This window comes from Homo sapiens, chromosome 6, assembly GCF_000001405.40.
Source record: "Homo sapiens chromosome 6, GRCh38.p14 Primary Assembly".
Taxonomy (NCBI): domain Eukaryota; kingdom Metazoa; phylum Chordata; class Mammalia; order Primates; family Hominidae; genus Homo; species Homo sapiens.
The window spans coordinates 110,724,248-110,749,345 of NC_000006.12; the positions used below are offsets into that span (position 1 = coordinate 110,724,248).

The 25,098-nt window shown below is 37.0% G+C and overlaps 1 protein-coding gene across 15 annotated transcripts in view; it reads right to left on the reverse strand.

Moving 5' to 3' along the window:
- Positions 1-25,098, reverse strand: part of CDK19 (cyclin dependent kinase 19) — a 205,878-nt gene that overhangs the window by 114,270 nt on the left and 66,510 nt on the right. For 14 of the 15 annotated variants that reach the window (XM_047418470.1, NM_001300964.2, XM_011535630.3 and 11 more), the window contains one exon: positions 21,879-21,954. In XM_047418470.1, the coding sequence (XP_047274426.1) occupies positions 21,879-21,902 (24 nt within the window). In that variant the 5' untranslated portion in view covers positions 21,903-21,954. Of the gene's footprint in view, positions 1-21,878; positions 21,955-22,433; positions 22,963-25,098 lie in introns of all 15 variants that reach the window. The other variant, XM_047418468.1, reaches the window with a different exon arrangement.

Here is a 25,098-nt window from a genome sequence, read left to right on the forward strand (position 1 = left end):
GGAAGGCTGAGGCAGGAGAATCACTTGAACCCGGGAGGCGGAGGATGCAGTGAGCTGAGATCACGCCATTGCACTGCAGCCTAAGCAACAAGAGCGAAACTCCACCTTAAAAAAAAAAATACCAACAAAACAAGTACATAATGTGGTAAGGGAGTATGACTGACCGCACTGCCCTGCTCATCCTTAGGGACACCAAGGTGGACTGTCCAATCTTCCTCCCCAAATTTTACTGTATGGTTCTCGGTCTACCTGGAAAAGTTCTGGAGCAGAATAGTGACACAACTGTATCTAAAATTTGAGATCAGTCCAGTGGCTTTGTTTAGGATAGGCTGGCAGAGAGGCAAGGAGAACAGACACTAAAGTTTAGGCACAACAAGATAATAAAGGTGCACTAAAAGTAAAAATGAAAAAGCTAAAGTTGAAAAGCTTTTTGAAAGAAAAAACATAGAAGACTTGGCAATCAAGTACGGTGAATCTTCAACTATTACATAAAAGATCTCTTCTAAATTTATTAGATAGCTAGATAAGATCTTTTTTTTTTATTGTTTCTGTGCCGGAATTAAGTATGTCTAAAACTACAGTGCAATATCAGAAGTATTAATATATAAACACCTAGGTGGAAAATGAAATATACAAAATTACTCAGAATTCTAAATTATACAGATATGGGAAGGGTACCAGCTATTGGAGTCTTTCAAAATGGCACTGTGAATACAGAAATGAATACAACCAAGTAAGCAAAATCAAAGTGTCTCCAACTGATACCTACTATGTGAGCTCCAAAAGTACAGAATTATTATTGTATGCATTTTTCACTATTATATCTCCAGCATCTGGAATTTGTTGAATGAGCAAATAATTAAAGTACATTAAATCTCTAATCTCCATAAAATATAATTTATGTTAGTTTCAAAGGATATCTTATGGCTCTGTAGCTTTCAAAAACCACAGCAACAAAGGATAGAGAACAGTAGCCAAACTAGAATATGGAATAGATAATGCTTTTGGATGTTAAAAAATCCCAAAAGACTGAGGTAATAGAAATTAAACTAAATTTAGTGAGAGAGAACTAAGCAAACAGAAGAGGAAAACATGGGATTAATAATTTTAATTATAAATATAATATCTTCCCTAAACCCTCTCAGAAAAATAATGACTCAAATGTTGAGATGAAACTGAATATTACTAAACACAGATAGTAAGAAACAGCATAAAATGGGTAACACAATTTATATAATTTAAATGCAAAAAGATTTAAAATATCTTAGCATTGATTTTACAAAATCAGTAGACAGAGAGAGAGGGGCAGAGAGAGAGAGAGAGAAACAGATCCTGAACAAAATCCATCATCCCTCGTGCAGCCTAATTGGCTGAGAAATCATCACAAGGGTAATATGGGCATTGCACTAACAGTCTCATAAGCAGCCAATCAGCTTCTGGGTACAGACAATAAGCACCTTTAAATAGAACCTAGAAATTATTTCACTAAAATTTGGCAGTACTTAAGTTTTTTATTTAAATTGTTCAAGTCTAATTATGAGAGGGGAAATGTTGACTTAATACAAATTCAAAGATAAACTTTTACATAAGCAAGATAGGAAACACACTTTATTTACATCAAAGTGTAAAATCCTTTGTTACATTCTGCTTAACAATGCTTCTAAAAGAAATAAACAGTTATGTTCTATGGGCTTGATTTTATAAATAAACTCTTTCAGAAAGCATTTCTTTTTTTTTCAATCCAACTTGTAAAACACGCCATGTTTTCCATAAGAAACTAGTAGGGTGTTGCTATGGGAACAACATTTTAATACCATTTTTAAAACACCAGTAGCTTCAAAGAACAATAAGGTAAAGAAAAATGAAAGGAAACTATCTTATCTGATTGGGAAAAAAAGATAATCCTAGTATTTCATGATGCAACTGTTATAATCATGTTATAATCATGCAGCAAAAGCATTTCACATACTTTTTCTGTAGATGGGAAGGAAAGTATTAGGGAATACTTTAGGAGATAATTAGCAAAGGTAAATTAATGCAAGCATTTTGAGTAAGAATAAACAGATGTTACCAGGTCCTTGTCCCAGAAAATCAGAAAGGAAAGGACACTGATGTGTGTTGAAACTCTGAAACACTATCTCTATTCATAGTCCTAGAAAGCCATCTGAATCAAATATAAGTGTTCTTTCAACTCAAGCCTAAAGAAAATGGGGGGATTATTAAGTAATAATTGATATACAAGTAATGCCTGAAAAGGTTCCATTTAGAAAATGGCCCCAGTTATAGATACCTAAGTGAATAGGGTGGGGAGGGATCTTAAATCTTAATTAATTTAGAAAAATATTTTGAACTAGTGGTTTGGACTTATAATTTTATCTGTTAACAAAAAAACTATATTTTTGTTAATAGCAAACAAAACCACAATTGAGTGGGAAAGATAGATCACTACACACTTCCAAAAATGAACCTGGCCTACAGAGAGCTGGGCTTTTTAGACTCCAGACTTTACAAAGGTGCTGGAAAAAAGTCCACTGATTGCAGTCATTTTGCTACAGAGCAAAAAATATTTACTTCTAAGTTCTGAAGAGTAACATGGAATATATGGAAGGATTAATAATAATACTTTGCATTTTCATAATCCCATAAAGTCTACAAGGTACTCTCGTATAAATTAAATCACATGCCATTTTTCCTCTAAGATAATCAAGCTGGAAAGAACAACTATTATTCAGTGGCACATCTTCATAACATTCTGTCAGAGAATAATATTTATAGTTTTATTATAGGTCAACAATAGAATACTGGGTTTCAATAATATGAACTTTTCAATAAGTAGGAAAGACAGAGACATAAGACAGAATTAGGTTATATAAGACCATTTCTCATGAGATATATGAAAACACATTATAAAAGTCAAATTATTACATACAAAAGATTCTTGGTTGAGCTATGATGAATACTAAATTGCTCTATAACTAGTAACTAACCACCCAGACCCTCGCCATACCCCTTTCACTAACTACCTATTTTTCCATTTACTGTTAGAGTGCTTTTCCCTCCCTCCCACACTACTAATCCTTTAAAGCCCATCTTAAGTATTTCCTTATCTTTGAAACTTTGAGATCATCATGTCCAAAGTGGCCTCACTCCACTTACTGTACCTACTCTTTCAGAATGCCTTCAATCACAGTCTTGTAGTATTAATTATATTCAAAAATGTGTCTTATCTTCTGGACCAGCATATAAGGTTCATGATGGAAAGAAGCATGTCATATATTGCTCTTGTATAATCCTCTTCATTACTGAGATCATAATTGTCTCTTCCTCCTCTTAAATGTTTCAATGGACTCTCAAACTCAAGATGTCTTTTTTAAAAGAAAATCTCTGTCTGCCCTCTCCATCTTAGTTCTCTTCTAGAATTCCTCTCTCAAGAAGAGCGACTGGGCCAGGTGCAGGAGCTGACACCTGTAATCCCAGCACTTTGGAAGGCCAAGGCAGGCAGACTGCTTGAGCCCGGAAGTTTGAGACCAACCTGGGCAACATACCGAGACCTCATCTCTACTAAAAAAAAAAGAAAGAAAGAAAGAAAATTAGCCAGGCATAGTGGTAAATCCCTATTGTCCCAGCCCAGCTACTCAGGAAACTGAAGAGGATCATTGGAGGCCAGAAAATCGAGGCTGCAAAGCACTATTATCCTGCCACTGCACTGCAGCCTGGGCAACTGAGCAAGACCCTGTCTCAAAAAAAAAAAAAATGAGAAAGGCCAGGCATGGTGGCTCACACCTGTAATCCCAGCACTTTGGGAGGCCAAGGTGGGGGATCACGAGGTCGGGAGTTCAAGACCAGCCTGAGCAACATGGTGAAACCCTGTCTCTACTAAAAATACAAAAATTAGCCGGGCATGGTGGCGTGCACCTGTAATCCTAGCTACTCAGGAGGCTAAGGCAGCAGAATTGCTTGAACCTGGGAAGCGGAGGTTGCAGTGAGCTGAGATTGCACCACTGCACTCCAGCCTGGGTGACAGAGCAAGACTCCATCTCAAAAAAAAAAAAAAAAGAGAGAGAGAGAAAGAGCACATGCTATCTATTAGAAGTCAAATTAGCTGCCAAAGCCAGAAAAAACGGAAATCTTTGCCACCTCTCTCCCTTGCTGCCTATATCCAATTCATCAATTTCTACCCATCTGCCCTCAGGAAAAATCTCTAAGTTTTTTTCCACTTCTGTCTATCTTCCCTAGTCTGATTGCTGCAGAGGTTTTCTAACTACTCTCCCTACATCTTCTCCTCTATCTTTACTCTCATCTATTGATACCATAGTCAGAGTGGTAAAAAAAAAAAAACTAATTTGACTGTGTCATTTCCCTGCTAAAACCCAAGATCATTAACACAGCCCACACAGCTGCATGTGACCTGGCCCTGTTAGGGGGTCTTCCCCTCTCAGGTCACTTTCATCCTCACTCATCACTTCAGGCACACCAGCATCTCCTATACTCTCAAATGTGGCATGCTGCGTCATGCTTATACACAATGTTCCCTCTACTCTGCCTAATGAGCTCCCACTCATCCTTCAAATCTCTGCACAAATGTTACTTTCTTGGGGAAATCCTCCTTGATGCCCTAAAGTTAGATAATCTTTCTCTTGTTATCCTGCCATGATACTAGCTTTTCCTTAGCTCTTATCATCTTGTGTGAATATTCGTGTGAATATTTGTTCATTAACAATCTCTTCTGAAAGACAGTGCCTAGCACATAGAATAGGCAATGTATACCTCCTGAATGATTAATAATAATAGTCTAATATTTAATGAACCCTATATGCCAGGCACTATGTTAAGTGCTTTCCACAGATAAATAATTATTATTCTCCCTATTTTTACAGGTGAAAAGAGATTAGTAATTTATACAAGATCACAGACCTAGTAAGTAAAAGAGCTAGGACAGGAACCTAAATCTGTCAGGTACTAAACCCATGCTTTTTACCGTTAACTGAATTTGCTCCCCCAAACCATTGCTTGTAGAACTAAATAAATATATGTTGATTATTTAAAATGTCTACCTTCTATTGGACAAGAGGTTACTGAAAAAAACTGTGTACTCATACTATGATAAATATTAAGACACTTTTACACTAAGATAAAGAACAGTGGAAAAATTAAACGGAGTTTATTTTATGTTATTTTGTTGTTTGTTTATTTATTTTTGAGACAGAGTATCGCTCTGCCAGCCAGGCTGTAGTGCAGTGGCACAATCTCAGTTCAGTGCAACCTCTGCCTCCTGGGTTCAAGTGAGTCTCATGCCTCAGCCTCCCAAGTAGCTGGGACTACAGGCACATGCCACCAGGCCCAGCTAATTTTTGTATTTTTTTTTTTTTTTTTTTAGTAGAGATGGGGTTTCACTATGTTGGCCAGACTGGCTTGAACGCCTGATCTCAAGTGATCCACCTGCCTCCCAAAGTGCTGGGATTACAGGCGTGAGCCACCACGCCTAGACTTTATTTTTATTTTTTGAGACTAGGTCTTGCTATGTTGCCCAGGCTAGAGTGCAGTGTCTATTCACAAGCACAAATGTAGCACACTGCAGCCTCAAACTCCTGGGCTCAAGCAATCCTCCTGCCTTAGCCTCCCAAGTAGCCAGGACTACAGGAGCACAATACTGTACCCAATTCAGTTTTATTTAATTTGGAAATATTAATCCATTGAGTTATACAACTGGGTTGTATAACTGGGTCTCAGACTGAGAGTAATAGATGGCCCAAGACTAAATAGCTACATACCTCCACTGTTATAAGCAAGGCTCTGTACTGGTATAAAATAAGCCTTGCTGTAGTTTGCTATGTCCCCATTTCTGCCTTCATTGGAGTACTAACAGCAAAATCCAGAGCCTATCTTGATTGGATTTATTATACTCCAATTGGAGAGTAGGGAAGAATTTTAATGAAATCTCACGAAGTTTTTCTACATTAAGCTTAACTTGAATGACTTGAAAAAGGAAGTAGCTATAGTGGCTATTTTACTTCCTGGCAATCCTAATCAACCCAAAGACAATGCAAGGAAGCCATGCAGAATTGGATGGTTAGAGAACTCATTTGAGACTACCAGTAATCTAACACAAAATCTGTAGAAAAGTTTCTTTCAAAAAGGAATTAGAGCTGAATATCAGAAGAAGTTTAAACAACAAAGTTATACTTGTGGAACAGGTTCTAACTCAGCTTTCTTTACTATTTGATTTCACTAACATAATTATGGATACAAATAAGCCCATAAACTGTCCCATAACATGTAGATAGTTACGATGTAGGGGAGAAGTAATCACTTTGAAAGGCAATTAACAAAGAAACACTATTAAACTCAACAGATTGGAATAATTTTTCTAGATTAGTACCAGCTGCTATTCAACAATTCATGTATGTTTGTAATTAAATTTCTTCTTCTTCTGAGGCATCTTTGAACCTCAGTAGTCAAAGTGTCACCTTTGGACCAGCAGCATCAGCATTACCTAAGAGCTTATTAGAAATTTAGAGTATCGGCTGGGCACAGTGGCTCACACCTGTAATCCCAGCACTTTGGGAGGCCAAGGCAGGCCTATTACCTGAGGTCATGAGTTCGAGGCCAGCCTGGCCAACATGGTGATACCCCATCTCTACTAAAAATACAGAAATTGGCCGGGCATGGTGGCGCATGCCTGTAATCCCAGCTACTTGGGAGGCTGAGGCAGGAGAATCATTTGAACCTGGGAGGCAGAGGTTGCAGTGAGCTGAGATAGCACCATTGCACTCCAGCTTGGGCGACAAGAGCAAAACTCCATCTCAAACAAAAAAAAGAAAGAAAGAAAGAGAAAGAAAAGGAAGGAAGAAAGAAAAGAAAAGAAAGGAAAAGAAAAGAAAAGAAAAGAAAAAAGAAAAGAAAAGAAAAGAAATTAATTTAGAATATCAAGCTCTTTCCCAGGCCTGCTGAATGAGAATCTGCATTTTAGCATTTTAACAAGATCCCCAGGTGATACGTAGGGCCATAAAATCTGAAAATCACTGGATTATAGAATGACTCAAGGAAAAACAATCTTCACAACCTTCAGTGTGGGATCACTGGCTGTGATGATGCTGGAGACTGGCTAATTGAAAAAGAATACTGGATAGGCAAATCCATAGAGGCAGAAAGTAGATTTAGATTAGTGGTTGCCAAGGGCTGAGTTGGGGAGGGGAAGGGGTAATGGGAAATGACTACTACTGGGTACAGAGTTTCTTTGTGGGATGATGAAAATGTTCTGGAATGAGACAGTGGTGATGGTTGCACGACGTGTGAAAACACTAAAAATGAATGGATTATATAACTTAAAAGGACTGATTTTACGGTATGTGAATTGTATCTCAATTTTTAGAAAGGAAAAATATACTAGCACTGGGTCTTTTCCAGTCTCTCTCATGAAAGAGTCTAACTGGCTATTTCAATACTACATGACTGGCCATTAAAATTAAATATGGAGACTTATACTGACAGTCATTCTCTTGAATAAAACCATTCAATCTATCCTATTTGCATAGACTATCCTATTTGCATAGACTATCCAATGTTCAATAGTTGTATTTTGTATAGACTATGAATGGCAAATCATGTATCTCTTCATAAAGACAAATGAGAAGGGATAATGAATAGCTGGAACAGAAGGGGACACACAATAATTTACACAATAATAATGCCTTGAAAGGTGATAGTACTATTATATTTCTAGTTGTAATATTACTATTATATAATCTTCTATATCTTTCCCAAAACTAAGTAATCAGATCTGTGAAATTCAGGTCACCATTTTTACCCAACCCTCCCATCCCACCCACCTTGGCTCTTTTGCTCAGTAAACTGCGCCATCTAGCTAACAGAGAAATCATCACTAAAAGGTTTGTTTCCTAAATCTCTCTTAAATCTCAAATACTTCTCACCAATTCCTCCATTTTTACAAAGTCATTCAAGGTAGGGCCGGGCATGGTAGCTCATGCCTGTAATCCCAGCACTTTCGGAGATGGAGGCAGGTGGATCACTTTAGGTTAGGAATTTGAGACTAGCCTGGCTGTCACGGCGCAAAACCCTGTCTCTACTAAAAATACCAAAAAAAATTTAGCTGGGTATGGTGGTGCATGCCTGTATTCCCAGCTACTCAGGAAGCTGAGGCACAAGAAGCACAAGAATCGCTTGAACCCAGGAGACACAAAACATTTGAATCTGGGAGGCAGAGGTTGCAGTGAACAGAGATTACACCACTACACTCCAGCGTGGGCAACAAGGCAAGAAAAAAAGTCATTCAAGATGGCCCCAGGCTAACATTTTAACCTTTCTACCCTCAACTCTTCCTTGCAACCATATTAGACTTTTCCCATTCCTTTAAAGAACCAATCTCTCTAGTCTTTATTTTGTATTTTTTATATTACTAGTATTTTATTGTGGCACAATTTACATACAGCAAAATGCACAAGTCTTAAGTGACCAGCTTGAATTTTGACAGATATAAACACCTGTGTAACCACCAACCAAGATATACAACATTTTGTCCAGGAAGGGTGGCTCACACCTGTAATCCCAGCACTTTGTGGAGGGCCGAGGCAGGCGGATCACTTGAGGTCAGGAGTTTGAGACCAGCATGGCCAACACGGTGAAACCCCATCTCTATTAAAAACACAAAAATTAGCCAGGTGTGGTGGTGCACGCCTGTAATCCCAGCTACTTGGGAGGCTGAGAAAGGAGAATCGCTTGAACCCAGCAAGGTGGAGGTTGCAGTGAGCTGAGATGGCGCCACTGCACTCCAGCCTGGGCAACAGAAGACATACAACATTTTCATTACCCTGTAAAGTTTCTGTGAACTCCTTTCCACTCAACCCTCCTGCCCACCCAAGGCAATCACTATTCTGATTTCTATCACAATACGTATTTCTGTCTGCTCTTAAATTTCATATAAATAAAACCATACCCATATGTGTTATTTTGTATCTGGCTTCTTTTATTTAAATTAATGTTTCTGAGATTCATCCATGTTATTAAGTACATCAATTTTCTTTTTTAGAGTTTAATATTAATGCAGTCTATGGATACACCATAAATTATTGATCCACTCTCCTATGGCTGAACATTTGGATTTTCCCTTGTTTGGGGCTATTATGAATAAAGCTGTTATGAACATCCTTGTACAAGTTTTTTGTAGTCATGTGCATTAATTTCTCTTGGGTACAAATTACTTAAAAATGGAATTGCTGGATCATGCAATAGGTATATGTATAAATTCATCAGAAACTGCAAACTTTTTGCCCAAGTGGCTATACCGTTTCATGCTTCCATCAGTACCAGTTACTCCATAACTTCATTAACAATGGTATTATCAGTCTTCTTCATTTTAGCCATTCTGGTGGAGGTATAGTATATTTTTAAAATCTAGTTCAGTTTAATTATTAAATTATTTTAATATATTTTATATATATCGCTAAAACACAAAAAACATAGCAGAGATTATAATCAAATAAATAATCCTCTGACCCATACTTCACCTTTCCCATATGCAACTATTAACTTTTTCTGGTTTTTGTTTGAGTATTTTCTATCTTCAAGTGTTTATACCACTATTCTTGACTTACCAACTTTAAGCATTATTGATTTTCCGGTATAATGGATGAAACTGTAGCTCATTTACCTTCCATTTCCAGCATTCCTCTCCTTTTGATCATTTTTAGTTCATCTACTGTTTACTTTAAAAATTATTATTCATATAAGTTTTTGTTTCACCAACTTTGGTTTTTTTGTTTTTGTTTGTTTTTTTGAGACAATCTCCCTCTGTCACCCAGGCTGGAGGACAGGGGCTCACTGCAACCTCCACCTCCCAGGTTCAAGCAATTCTCGTGCCTCAGCCTGCCAAGTAGCTGGGATTACAGGCACCCGCTACCACGTCAGGCTAATTTTTGTATTTTTAGTAGAGATGGGGTTTCGCCATGTTGCCTAGGCTGGTCTCCAACTCCTGAGCTCAAGTGATCCACCCGCCTCAGCCTCCGAAAGTGCTGGGATTACAGGCGTGAGCTACCACACCCAGCCATTTCATCAACTTTTAACGGTACCTCTATTCTCCACACATTAGTGAGGGTAACCCTAGTTGCAGCAGTTAAATAAGCCCCAAAATTTTACTTGTGGAACACAACAAAAATTTACACATTGCTGTTTTAATAACTACAGTTTGGTAGGCTTAAAGGAATTAAAACAGTCAACTCCTCAAATACTATTGATAAAACTAAGAGGGTGAGCACTGCTCTCTCTCTCTCTCTCTCTCTCTCTCTCTCTCTCTCTCTCATGTCTGGGCTTTCCTCCATGCTGTTTCAGACCAAATATCCTTCTACATTCTCCCTTCTCCACCTGGCTAGCCCCTATTAGGCTTTGAAATTTATGCTACCACAAAATCCCCAAAGAGTCTTCCCAGACTGCCAAGTATGAGCTGGATGCTTCTCCAGCACACTGTGCTTAACTTTGTCACAGTCTTGATTATACAGTGTTGAAAATGGCTTTCTTGTCTGTCTCCTCCAAAACTATAAACTTCTTGAGGGAAAGGGAAAAACTGTATTCACTACTACATCCTCAGCATTTAGCACAATGCCTAGATTATAATAGATACTCAAATATTAAATGCAAAATTAAATTACTTGAATAGTAATTGGTACAATAGTAAATATTATTCAAATAATTACTTGATTAGTAATGACCTCAAATTCCTATTCAAGTAATGTATATTCAAATGACTATTTTCCACCCCTTATTCATTAAATCACACATGGTTATGGAAAGGAAAATCAGAATGGATCAAAAATTTTAGATAATAGTCCACAAAATTTAATTTTTAATCTTCTTTTTTTTTTTTATTTAATGAGACTGGGTCTTGCTATTTTGCCCAGGCTGGTCTCAAACTCCTGAGCTCAAGCGATCCTCTTGCCTCAGCCTCCCAAAGTGCTGGGTTTACAGGCATCAGCCACCACGCCCAGCACACAAATTTTAATTTTATATTTCAAATAAGAATATGCCTGAACACAAAGTTTAAAATCTTCTACTACAAAAAAAAACTTTATCAAAACAAATACCACTCCCTTATAATGTTACTAATATTGTTAAAGTAACAATTTCAAGTAAATTCTTGCATTTATTTAATAATTTATTAACAGCCCACTTTGTTCCAAGCACCATATAGACAGATTCCAAGGATTCAATAGTGAATATATCAGATACAAACTCTGAGCTAAATTTCATGAAGTCATAGTGAATCTATGCCAAAAATCCCCCATTTTAGACATGAAGAAACTAAGATTCACAGGAATTAGATACATTCTATTGACAGTTGCTTATGGGATTAATAATTCTTCTAAATCAAGAAACTAAAAAACAGGTTGCACAGACTGAGATATTTAATTCCAAACCGAAATTAAGCAGAATAAGTAGCCTGAAGAACAAACTAGAATAAAAGTAGAACTCATCCATATTGTAATCCAAGAGTTTATATATAGTATATATCACTAAAATATATGCAAGAGTAAGACTCTGCCCTGACAGGCAACCACTTCCTCCTGGTAACTCAGAAGATTTTTGACATCCTTGGAAAGAAGTGCTTCGCCAAAACATTTCATGAGATTCAGTTGATACTGCAGTTAGAGGGTGGAGCTGAGAATGACCGGAAAGTTCAGCAAGGAAAGAGATTCTGAGAATCTGAGGAACCTGTGAACTGCTGCACGGCATACTCCCTCAGCAGTGCCAGCCTTACTAGCAAATCAAAACATACCTGATTCCCCTTTAAAATCTTCATCTCAGCCAGGCGTGGTAGTTCACGCCTGTAATCCCAGCACTTTGGGAGGCCTAGGCAGGTGGATCACCTGAAGTTGGGAGTTCGAGACCAGCCTGACCAATATGGAGAAACCCTGTCTCTACTAAAAATACAAAATTAGCTGGGCGTGCTGGCGCATGCCTGTAATGCCAGCTACTCGGGAGGCTGAGAGAGGAGAATCGCTTGAATCCAGGAAGCAGAGGTTGAGGTGAGCCGAGATCACGCCATTGCACTCCAGCCTGGGCAACAAGAGCAAAATTCCATTTCAAAATAAATAAATAAATAAATCTTCATCTCTATTGCTACCTAGCAAATGGGTCCAGGTACTAATAGTAACTTGCCAAAGATGTACAGGATAATAGTGGAATCCAGATACAACCCCAAGTCTATCTGAATCCAAAGTTCAAGTTCTTTCCCACATTACGATCTGAAGCCAAAGGCATATTTAAAAATATATCTTTTTTTAGTTTTATCACTTCAATCTCCTATTTTTAATCTAGAATTACTAAGTTTATGTTAAATTTTATAGTTTGGTATCTTCTATAAGAACACATTTTAAAATGAAATTTATGGTCTTAAGAATAACTTACTTTGACCACAGTGAAAACAAGTTAAGCTATTTTCTTTGCTTAGAGTTTAAATGGGAAAAAGTTATTACCAATAATAATACCAACAACAAAAACCAGCACCATTTACTGCACATTTATATTCAGACTCGGAGCCAAGCCCCTCACATACCAGTATCAGATTTATTTTCAGTCTTTCTTCACTCTGCATTTATATCACTAGCACAACTTTGCTTCAATATTATTCAAGAGAAAAATAAACACTAAAAATAGGGAATTAATGGCCAATTAAATCTAACTGCTTAGAGCAAGAATATTAAATTGATAATTTTTATATTTTTAGGAGAACTAAAATAACTCTACTGATGTACTCAGTAGGGAGGGATACTGACACAGCAGAAAGCCAACTTTTCCATCATAAGCCACCAATTCTTCAAAGAAGGAAAGCATCTGCAGCTACCACAAGAGCCTAAAGGTTGTGCTAACAGCTAACTAGTCTATTCCCTTAGGGTGGCGGAAATGGAAAAGTTTTCAGCTACATCTATGACTTGTGTTACCACACCATCCCATCTTCCCTTACCATAACACACACACAAATACACACACACATCAGAAACTGATGAGCAAAGCTGATATCTTTTTTCAAACTGTTCCTTCTCACAAAAGTGAGTAACACAAAAGTGAGAAGGAACAAAACCCCAGAAACCTGTATGGCCCACCTCTTTTCTATTACTGGCAATAATCGGTGTTTAAATCACCTTCTGACAATACAAAAATATGTCACTTAGTCTTCTCATAGGAAACATAGTAGCTTGAAAAATAGTCCAATAGGTGTATACATACACACACACACACATCTTCCAAGAGTCTCATGACTTAACAGGCATAGTAGAGCAGACAACAGACAGATACACGATAGGACTGGAGGTTCTATTTGCTCGCTGGCTCCTTGTACCTTTTCAGGTCTTAAAAGGAAATAAAAAATGCTACAGTGTAGTTCCTCCCTAGGCACTGACCTTGTATTAGTTTCCCAGAATCCTCCTAAAATAATAGCAAACTCCAATCCCAAACTCTTACAAGATTTCATTTTTAAGTATAGGAGTTGGCAGAAAGTCTTTATTTTGCCAAGGAAGCTAAATATATATTTGAGAAAAATATTAACTATCACCATATATTGCAAGGAAAAAAAACCCACATTTTTCATAAGGAAATATCCATGCTGAGTCTTCAACTCCAAAAGTAAAATTTTTGTTTGTTTTTAAGGAAAACACAAGGATCACACCAAAGAACAGATCTTGCTCAAGGGAAATTTCACATTTACTTAGTTCTATTCTCTTAACACCATACCAAATTTTAAAGAAAATAACTGTTACAGAACATCATGTTAAAAGTCTGAAAAAAAAATTCTTTTTCTACTTTGAGTGTTTTTTACAAAAATCTCAGTACTAAACTTTGATTTTGTCCCTTTCACAGAAAAGGTAAAATACTTGATTCACACATCTATTTCCACTAATCTATACTTTCATAAAGTTGCACGCATATTTAAAAAGAAAAAGAAACTTGCACTCAGTGTAAAACATAAAAACAAGCCAGGTGTGGTGGCTCATGTCTGTAATCACAGCACTTTGGAAGGCCAAGGTGACCAGATCACTTGAGGTCAGGAGTTCGAGACCAGCCTGGCCAACACGGTGAAACCCCATCTCTGCTAAAAATACAAAAAAAAAAAAAAATTAGCCAGGGATGGTGGCACATGCTTGTAATCCCAGCTACTCAGGAGACTGAGGCAGGAAAATCACTTGAACCTGGGAGGCGGAGGTTGCAGTGAGCCGAGATCGCGCCACTGCACTCCAGCCTGGGTGACAGAGCAAGACTCTGTCTCAAAAATAAATAAATAAACAACCAAACAAAATATAAAAACAACTGAGATAATGTAATTAAATAATCTTAATAAAACTAAATAGATATTTCTCACTATACATATAATTTAATAAAATAATTTTAAGCTTGGTAGAAATTAAATTAAAAAGAATTAGAGCCTTGGCTTATAGACATTTTAGAGTTTTTCTCAGAGGAATCCTCAGCAAACATACATTCTATCAATTCCACTTCATAAATTTAAAAAAGCAAAGGTTTATTCCTTTATGCCAAGAGGAAAGTTCCAAGGATTCCACTGAAGTTTACAAAGCAGCCTGCTACACCACCATGGTGGCAAGAGAGGAAAAGAAAGAAAGAAGGAAAAGTGCTGCTCCACTCCACCCTGCCTGCTGGGCACTATGTGGAAGAACTGCAAGTGACAGCCCCTTTCAGCTGATCCTGCCTCTCACCACAGAAACATCAATGCTGGGATATTGATGGATATATACACTGAGAAAGAACTGAGCAGAGGTGAATGAGGAAGTGGAGTTAATCAGCAACCCAAGCCAGACTGCTGCTGCCAGCAGTCTGAAGAAGTCAGTATTTCCCTATTTCTCTTCCCTCCTCAATAAACTGAATGTTTATGCCCCTTGCCCTCCCAAATTCGTATGTTGAAATCCTAAACCCTAACCAAAGTGATGATATTAGGACATGAGGCCTCTGGGAGGTGACTAGGTCACGAGGACAGAGCCCTCATGAATGGAATTAGTTCCCTTATGTAAGAGAGCCGAGAGAAATGGTTGGCTTTCCACCATGTGGAGACACAGGGAGAAGACAGCCGTCCATCTGTGAACTAGGAAGTGGACCCTTACCAGACACTGAATGGGCCAGACACTGAATGGGCCTTGATCCTGGACTTCCCAGCCTCCAGAATTGTTAGAAATAGGTGTTTATAAGCCACCAAGTCTATGGTATTTTGTTATGACAGCCCAAACAGACTAAGACACCTCCTCAACCTATGCCCTTCACCCTACTTCCCCCTAATTTTCCCTTCAGCCACTCTTCACTTCATTTGGAAATATCTCGATGTTGTTAGAAGTACTCAGGAGTAATAATATTTTATTGTATTTTATATATATACATTTTTTTTTTTGAGATGGGGTTCTCACTCTGTCACCCAGGCTGGAGTGTAGTGGTGCAATCGTAACTCACTGTAACCTCTAACTCCTGGACTCAAGCAATCCTCCCACCTCAGCCTCCCAGGTAGCTAGGACTACAGGTGAGTGCCACTATGCCCAGCTAATTATTATTATTATTATTATTATTATAGAGACAGGGTCTCACAATATTGTCCAGGCTGATCTCAAACTCTTGGCCTCAAGCAATCATCCCACCTCAGTCTCCCAAAGTGCTGGGATTACAGGTGGGGGCCACCACACCTAGACTCAAGGGTAATAATCTTATAATCTTTATATCCTACAAAACTAGAATGATTAATAAATTTGAAATTTATATTTGTATTATTCCAGATTAAATTATATTTCATGAAAATTAATGGACTCTCTGCTCTTGTGGGGGGAAAAATTCTCTGTATTTTTGCAAAGAAAAAAGTCTAGAAGAATATACAAAAAAAAAATGATTACTTTTGAGTGTTGACATAACAGGTACTTTTACCAGCCTTTTTCTATATTGTCTGCTAATTTTACGACAAACATATTTTAATCTCATAATCGCAAAACAAATTAATGGTTGAATTAATAGCATTTACCACGTTTTCAACCTACCAACCTTAAGATCACAGAGGCCACAAATGTAATAGACTTCATATTAGAACTTCCCTGTAATCCCAGGCTAAAAATGCTGACGTTCACATGATCCTGGTATTTTAATCACCCAGAATTACTTCCTGTTGTGGCATAATGTAAAGTGTAAAGCACTGTACAAAGGTATGAGGTTATAATTAGCCTTTGGTCAATAAGGTTCAAATGAAATTAAAACGTGACATGACATTCTTTTTTAGTGAGACGAGGTAATAACACATTTCATTCTTAAACGTTTTTCCTTTCTGTAAACTTGTACTTCTTCCAAGTTTATTCCATGATTACAAGCTCTTTAACTTATTTTCCCAGCATCCCACTATATCCTCAACAGTTATTCTGCAATCATAGTCCCAAGTTTTAAAGTAATGAGTGAAATGTTCATTCCTAATTATTTCCGCCTTAAAATCCTCTCAGCTATGTGTGCCTATATGAACTACAAAATACTAGGCATTAGGTAATATAATGGTATGTAGAAGGAAGATGACAGAGAACAAGCCCTATCTACTCTTTATGGTGTTGCCTCCATTCTCCCCAATCTATCAGTCCCTCTTAGCCTCTCTGACTCTCAATTCCCTTATATACTCTGTCCTTCCACCACCAGGAAAACTAAACAAATAATAACTAAAATGAAAATTTCACCAGAGGGGCTCAACAGCAGAAGAAAGAATCAGAAAACTTAAAGACAGACAATTAAGAGTATCCAGTCTGACCAACAAAAAGAATGATGAAAAATGAACAGAGCCTTGGAGAGAGATCCATGGGACACCATGAAGCCTATAAACATATGTATAATGAGAGCTGCAATAAGAGAAGAGAGAAAGGAAAGGAAAGAAAGATTATGTGAAGAAATGATGACTGTGGTGGGGTGCAGCGGTTCATACATGTAATCCTAGCACTTTGAGAGGATGAGGCAGGAGGATCACTTGAGCTTAGGAGTTTGAGATCAGCCTGGACAACATAGTGAGACCTCATCTTTACAAAAAATTAAAAAAAAAAAATTAGCTGAGCATGGTGGTGCATACCTGCAGTCCCAGCTACTTGGGTGGCTGAGGTGGTAAAATTGCTTAAACCCAGCAGGTCAAGGCTGCAGCGAGCATGATTATGCCACTGCACTCCAGCCTGGGCAACAGAGTGAGATCCTGTCTCAAACAAAATAAAATAAAATAAATTAAAAAAAAAAAGAAATGATGGCTGAAAACTTTTCAAATTTGATGAAAAACATTAATCTACACATCCAAGGAGCTCAACAAACTCCAAGTAAGATAACTCAGAAAGCCGCACCAAGACACATCATAGGCAAACTGTCAAAGCCAAAGACAAAGACAGAATCTTGAAATCAACAAGAGGGAAAAAAAAAACCCTCTTCATATACAAGGGATTCTCAAGATTAACAGTTGATTTCTCATCAGAAACCACGAAGGCCAGAAAGCAGAGATGACACAGTCAAAGTGTGAAAGAAAAAGACTATCAACCAAGAATTCTACATCCAACAACACTAATACTGCAAAACTCAAGAAGAGCTGGGTAAGACAGAAAAAGAATTACGACATTCCCAGATACAAAAACTGAAAGAATACATTGCTGGTATACCTGATATACAAAAAAATACTAACAGGAGGCTTTCAGCTAAAATGAAAGGACTCTATACAGTAGCTCAAATCCACACAAAAAATTAAGAACACCAGTAAAAATAATGACATAGGTAAAGAGAAAAGAAATCATAAATGTATTTTTGTCTGTAACTCTTTTCTTCAATATGATGTAAAGGACAAATACATAAAACAATGTTGCGGGAAGTCAGGGACCCCAAAAGGAGGGACCGGCTGGAGCCGCAGCAGAGGAACATAAATTGTGAAGATTTCATGGACATTTATCAGTCCCCAAAATTAATACTTTTATAATTTATTACACCTGTCTTTACTGCAATCTCTGAACATAATTGTGAAGATTTCATGGACATTTATCAGTTCCCAAATAATACTCTTATAATTTCTTGTCTGTCTGTACTTTAATCTCTTAATCCCGTTATCTTCGTAAGCCAAGAATGTACATCACCTCAGGACCACTATTGTACAAATAGATTGTAAAACGTGTGTTTGAACAATATGAAATCAGTGCACCCTGAAAAAGAACAGAATAACAGTGATTTTCAGGGAACAAGGGAAGAAAACCACAAGGTCTGACTGCCTGCGGGGTCAGGCAGAATAGAGCCATATTTTTCTTCTTGCAGAGAGCCTATAAACGGACGTGCAAGTAGGAGAGATATTGCTGAAATCTTTTCCCAGCAAGGAATACCCTGGGGAAAGAATGCATTCCTGGGGGGAGGTCTATAAACGGCCACTCTGGGAGTGTCTGTCTTATGCAGTTGAGATAAGGAATGAAATACGCCCTGGTCTCCTGCAGTACCCTCAGGCTTACTAGGATTGGGAAATTACAGCCCAGTAAATTTTGGTTAGACCGGATCTCTGCTCTCGAATCCTGTTTTCTGTTGAGATGTTTATCAAGACAATACGTGCACAGCGGGACATAGACCCTCATCAGTAATTCTAATTTTGCCCTTGCCTTGCGATCTTTATTGCCCTTTGAAGCATGTGATCTTTGTGACCTACTCCCTGTATGTATACCCCCTCCCCTTTTAAAACCCCTAACAAAAACTTGCTGGTTTTGCGGCTCAGGGGACATCACAGACCTACCGATATGTGATGTTACCCCCGGAGGCCCAGCTGTAAAATTCCTCTCTTTGTACTCTTTCTCTTTATTTCTCAGACCGGCTGACACTTACGGAAAATAGAAAGAACATACGTTGAAATATTAGGAGCTGGTTCCCCCAATAAAACAATAATTATAAAATTGTGTTAGTGGGCTTAATGTATAAGACATATGTGCACAGTCACTGTGCAATACCATCCATGGTAAACTTGTGTGAAAATCCCTATCATGTTGGGGTTAAGTATTTAGAGTACTGATAAAATGCTATTCAACCTAGAAACTGCACACTTTCTAAAGTTCTATTAGGCAAACTCTCAATAAGAATATGAAGGCTATGGCTGAGAGTGGTGACTCATGCCTGTAACTACAGCACTTTGGGAGGTTGTGGCGGGTGGATCACTTGAGGTCAGGTGTTCAAGACCAGCCTGGCCAACTTGGTGAAACCCTGTCTCTACTAAAATACAAAAAATGAGCTGGGCATGGTGGTGCACGCCTGTAATCCCAGTTATTTGGGAGGCTGAGGCAGGAGAATCATTTGAACCCAGAAGGCGGAAATTGCACTGAGCCAAGATTGCACTACTGCAACCCAGCCTGGGTGACAGAGTGAGATTCTGTCTCCTACAAAAAAAAAAGAATGAAGGCTGTAACAGATTTTAAGAGTTAAGTTTCTCCATCACATTCCAAATTTATATAAAGACACACATGCCCATGGATTCCCTGGCACATAGAAGTCTCTGTTTCAAAAAGGACATTTATAATTGAGTTATCACTTCCTATTAATCAATACCTAAAATTTCAGCTATTTACCCAATTAATTCATGGAAGGTAGGGCTGAAAATGCTGTGCTAAATTATGGTACTCTAACATAGAAAAATAGCCCACCAATAATATTTATATTGGTTGATATAATAACATGTAAGGATTTTAAAATGTGACAAATCACTTACCAAATGCTTATCTGGTAAAACATTACAAATACCTCCCCACGTTTTTTTTTTTTTTTTTTTTGAGACAGAGTCTCGCTCTTTCACCCAGGCTAGAGTACAGTGGCACAATCTCAGCTCACTGAACCTCCTAGGTTCAAGCAATTCTCCTGTCTCAGCCTCCCGAGTAACTGGGACTACAGGCGCATGCCACCACACCCAGCTAATTTTTGTATTTTCAGTAGAGGTGGGATTTCCCCATATTGGTCAGGCTGGTCTCGAACTCCTGACCTCAGGTGATCCACCCCCCCAACAGCCTCCCAAAGTGCTGGGATTATAAGTGTGAGCCACCATGCCCAGCCACAAATACCACTTTATAATCAATGGAAAATCACCAAATTAGAATTTTTTCAAACAATTTGCATCCTAAAGCAAACATAGGTCCAAGCATGGTGGCTCACGCCTGCAATCCCAGCACTTTGGGAGGCCAAGGCAGGATTGCTTGAGGCCAGGGGTTCAAGGTTACAGTGAGATATGATTAAGCCACTGCACTCCAGCCTGGGTGGCAGAGCAAGACCTTGTCTCTAAAAAAAAATTTAAAAATAAAAGTAACACAAACTTAGAATTGTGGACCACTGGTAGAATTTTTTCATTCTGTTCATTCATTTATTTATTCAAGAAACATTTATAGCACACTTGCTATGTCAGACACTATGGTAGGAACTAGAGATAAAAAGACAAGGTCTGCCCCTCAAAGTACACACAGTCCAGGGAGAGGCTCCCATTCTAGAATTAAAGAAGGTATGATTAGAAGAGACCTAATAGTTCCCTTATTTAACAGATGAAACTGGAACTGATCACTACTTAGCTACTAAGGCAGACAGACATCCAGGTCTAGAGATTTCCCACCCCATGTGTTCTTTGCACCACACTTCTTATGACTAAAAGCGATGAAGGAGTGTTTCCATGCAGGTGAAGCAGAAACATGGAACTGTGGGCAATATATGTAATAGTTATTAAATTAGAGAGAGAAATCCCTAATGGATACGGACAATATAATTATTTAACAATTATTAAGTAACAATTATTTAAATAAATTTCTAACAATTTAGAGACAAACATCTCTAATAGATGTGATATTATGGTAAAGCCCTAATTAGCAATCTTTACTGAAGAACTAAAATAAGGTAATATAATAGTAAGCCTTCTGAGCTATAATTAGTTTTGCCTCTGTTTTCTGATCTGTAAAATGGGGATATTAAAATTTTATTTCACAGATTGTTGTGAAAATTAAGTGAATTAATACTTGAAACCATTTAGTAAGCCTGGTATCTAGTACACACTCATTAAATGTTTAGTATTCTTGTGAACAATCATTTCTTAAATGTACTAGTATGATATATAAAGACCAAAACAGGGAACTATTTTCTTTAAGGGATTATCCTATTATTATAATGGTCTTATTTTCTGGTGACTAATAACATCTCACTATATTATATATTTCAGAAATAGTATTTAAAATGAATAAGATTTAATAGTATGACCCCTTCCTCTATAAAGACCTTATCAGTCCTAAAGCTACAGAAAAATAGACATTAATTAAATTACTAATTAAAATAAAATTCCATCACAATTTTAATAAATTAAATCATTTTGTTCAGTATTTCTGAGATCACAAATCTTAAATATCATTAAGAGGATATTCAAAGATGACTTTCAAGTAACTAAAAAGTTTATGGGCTACATATGGTGGCTCACACCTTTAATTCCAGCAATTTGGGAGGCCACGGAGAGAGGATCATTTGAGCCCAGAAGTTTGAGACCAACCTAGGCAACACAAGGAGACCTCTTCTCTACAAAAAAATTAAAAAATTAGCCAGGTGTGGTGGCACATGCCTGTAATCCCAGCTACTCGAGAGGCTAAGGCAGGAAGATCGCTTGAGCCTAGGAGGTTCACGCTGCAGTGGACTCCAGCCTGGGCAACAAAATGAGATCCTGTCTCAAAATTTAAAAATAAAATAAAAAGTTTATGCAGATTTTCTCACTCTACATAAAATATTCTTAAACTAACATATGTAAAATAAACATTCATTATATATATTAATGAAACTTTTATATTAAAATAAATCATCACCCAATATCAATAATAAAATAAATAACTGTATTTGTATCCACTTACTGCAATCTCTCTACAAGCCGACATGGATATTCCTGTGCCTTCAATTTGCTTCAATGCATATTCCTTTTCATCTTTTCTGCACATAAACAAAAAAACATCATTTTTCCATATATCACTTTCAGATTCAAAATTATAACTACAAAAACAATGGAAATGCACTTAATTTCTCAGTGATATGTAAACATTCTCATTATACCATGTATTGCTTATTATTTTTGATAATATTTCAACTACAGAAATATGAGATACCAAAAGAAATTCATGTCACAATGAAAACATCAGACACAGCGAAAACACAAAATTCAAAATTGAAACAGAACAGGATACTAAACACAGCACTAGTTTCAAAGAGTAAACAAGCATAAATATAAACTCAAACATATTGCAAGATAATTCCACTCCTGTCTTAATTACCTGGAGTCAACAAAAGCATTCTGTTATAGACATTCACTATAAAAAACTGACAGACATAAACTCCCAGATTCATTTAAAGTAATTTCATAGTATAAGAAGCTTTATAGGAATCATAACCCACTAAAACACACTGTATCTCACCTAGCATGGGGACATTCAAAAGCCCGAGGACCTCAATCAAAAGCCTTTTAAAGATTTCAAAGCTCTAGCCACCAACATGTCATTCTCAGGAACACTAGGAGAAACCCAGTAGTTAAAGTGGATTTTTCAAACAATGGACATAGTATTAGGAATCCTGGGAAATCCCAACAGTTACTAAGTTGCTTAACCAAGAGAATACAGCAGTTCAAAATCTGGTGAAACATTCTGTTAAAATATTAACAGTATGAGATAAGCAGCTAGTACAATACAGTAAGTACAGTAAGCATTCTCAAGGGTGCTGATACCAGAACCAGCCACACAAAGGTCTCAGCTGAATGTCATAACTATAGTTCATATTGTGAGCTGTTCTTATAAGAGAAGTTAAATCCATGCCTTCCAAGTTTTGTCTTTTGATCATATTAGAGCCTCAGCAAAGTATCACCATGTCATGATGTTTTTGTCAAATATAGCGCCAAAGTAGTGCCACATCTGTCTTAGCTATTCCTCATTTTCCCCATTCTATGTTTACCTGCAGATAGAGCAGTTTAGGATGTTATTCAAAATCCACATTTTAAAACACCATTTTAAATCCCTTTTGAAGATTTTCACAATCATCTTCAAGCAAATAATTGAGTTATGGTTACTTTCCCTCACAATGAGTTTGAAAATTATATCCATTTTTCTTCCAACAGATAGCATTCAGGAAATAATTAAACAGTATTTTGACAAATAAAACATACTAGGTATGTCAACAAGATGGACTATGATGCAATTTTTTAAATGATGGCTAGAAGGTCATTAGAAACATGGAAAATATTTACCATATACTACTGAGAAAATACACAAATTATACTATATAAAAATATACATCTACAAATATGTTGAAGGCAATACAAAAAATTAACAGTTACGTTAAGATATAGGAAGTTATGTCAACTAACTTTAGTGCTAATATTATATTGCCTTTAAAAAGCCAAAATAAATTGATACTCTGAGAATACCTACTAAAACAATCTTTAGTATTTTCAAAGTGATAGCTCAGGCATGTTTTAAAAAGCAAAGTCAAAAATAAGGAAAGTTTAAATGATCATTTTTTCCTTTTTCTCCATCCTGTTTTTTGCCCAGACATAAAACCAGACTTTTTCAGACCACTCAGAAGCCATTAAGAAGCATAAACTGCAGGTGATTGAATGTAATCAAAGCCAAGTGTCCCTCCTGTGCCTTAAATGTATTTGTGGGTACAGAGTGAGAGCACATGTGCCTGAGAAGCTCAACACAATGCTTACGATGTAAATTTTATACATTTAATAATTAAGTTATCTATCAGGTATCTATTGCTAAATATTTAAGTTTGATGTATTCTTGAAACAAAATTATAAAAGCTTTCTAAAAAATTTTTCACATGAAACTATAATTTTTTCAACAGAAACATTTCAATCCTCAGTTCCCCTAGACAAAGTAGTCCAGAAGCTCATGTAATTGCATAGTTTTATTTTTAATACTGTAAAGAATATTACACAATCTGGATAGGTTATAGTTGCTATGGAAACTATAAGATCTTTGCAGTAAGTCAAAAAGTGCAAAATTAACACATCAAATTAATGGCTTTTGAATTTCACATCCAGGCTGTCAAAGGAATTTGAAAGCTTGAACAGAAGAGACTGAGCATAGGCCTTTTACTCTAAATTATGTGGACAGGAACAAGGAACAAACCCAGTAATTATTTCACTTAATAAGTTTAAATATAACTTCCACCTGCTAAAATAAAATACTAAAAAATTTGCAATTTTAAGATTTATTTGCAACATTTAAATTGAGAATGAAAGAAAGTACATATATCATTACTATTTCTCTTTGTAAACTAACTGTCAGATGGTAAGTGATGATGCAGCATCTCTAAGGTTCACCATATGAAGAAGTTGCAAGGTCCCAGAGGGCATATGGGACTTCTTGGCACTGTACTACGTGAATGCCAATCTTTGGGCATATGCCAACACCTTAGTCTGAAGACAAAACATGCATCCTTTAACACAACGTCTAGAAATATTTCAATGATTAGGCACATGAGACAGGGAAGCTTTATTGCTCTCATCCCACGTGAGTGCCCCTCTCCAGGAGTTCCTCCAAGTAGAGGAATTCATACCTCACAGCTTAGATGTTTCAGGCACATGTAATATTAAATATCATAAAAGAACAATTTTTTATTTTACATGACAAAGCTGAAAAGCAGGTGAACCTGCCTAGCCTACACTGCTATGATAATCCAGCTTTTAGAGGCAGCTTAGTTCCTCCTTAAAACTATTTCATTTCCAAATTACTTTTATTTCTAAATAACATAAAGATAGACAAAGCAATTCCAAAGCCTTCAGAGAAACTGTTTTCTACATTTTCGTGTATATTAGATAGTATGATTAGAGCAACTGCATATTGAAATTAATCAGAGGAATTTACTAAATGCATCCAGAAGAATTAAAAATACATGTATTTGTACTATAAACATGGATAAATGCTATATAGAATTTTTAAATATCAAGATGTTTCTTCTATATGTCTATAACATGTAGCAACACCATGAAAACTTCACTCTCAGCAGTCACAATGAAAAACAATTGTTTGATGTGAACATTACGTAACAAAATAGAACAAATAAATTTGACACAGACCA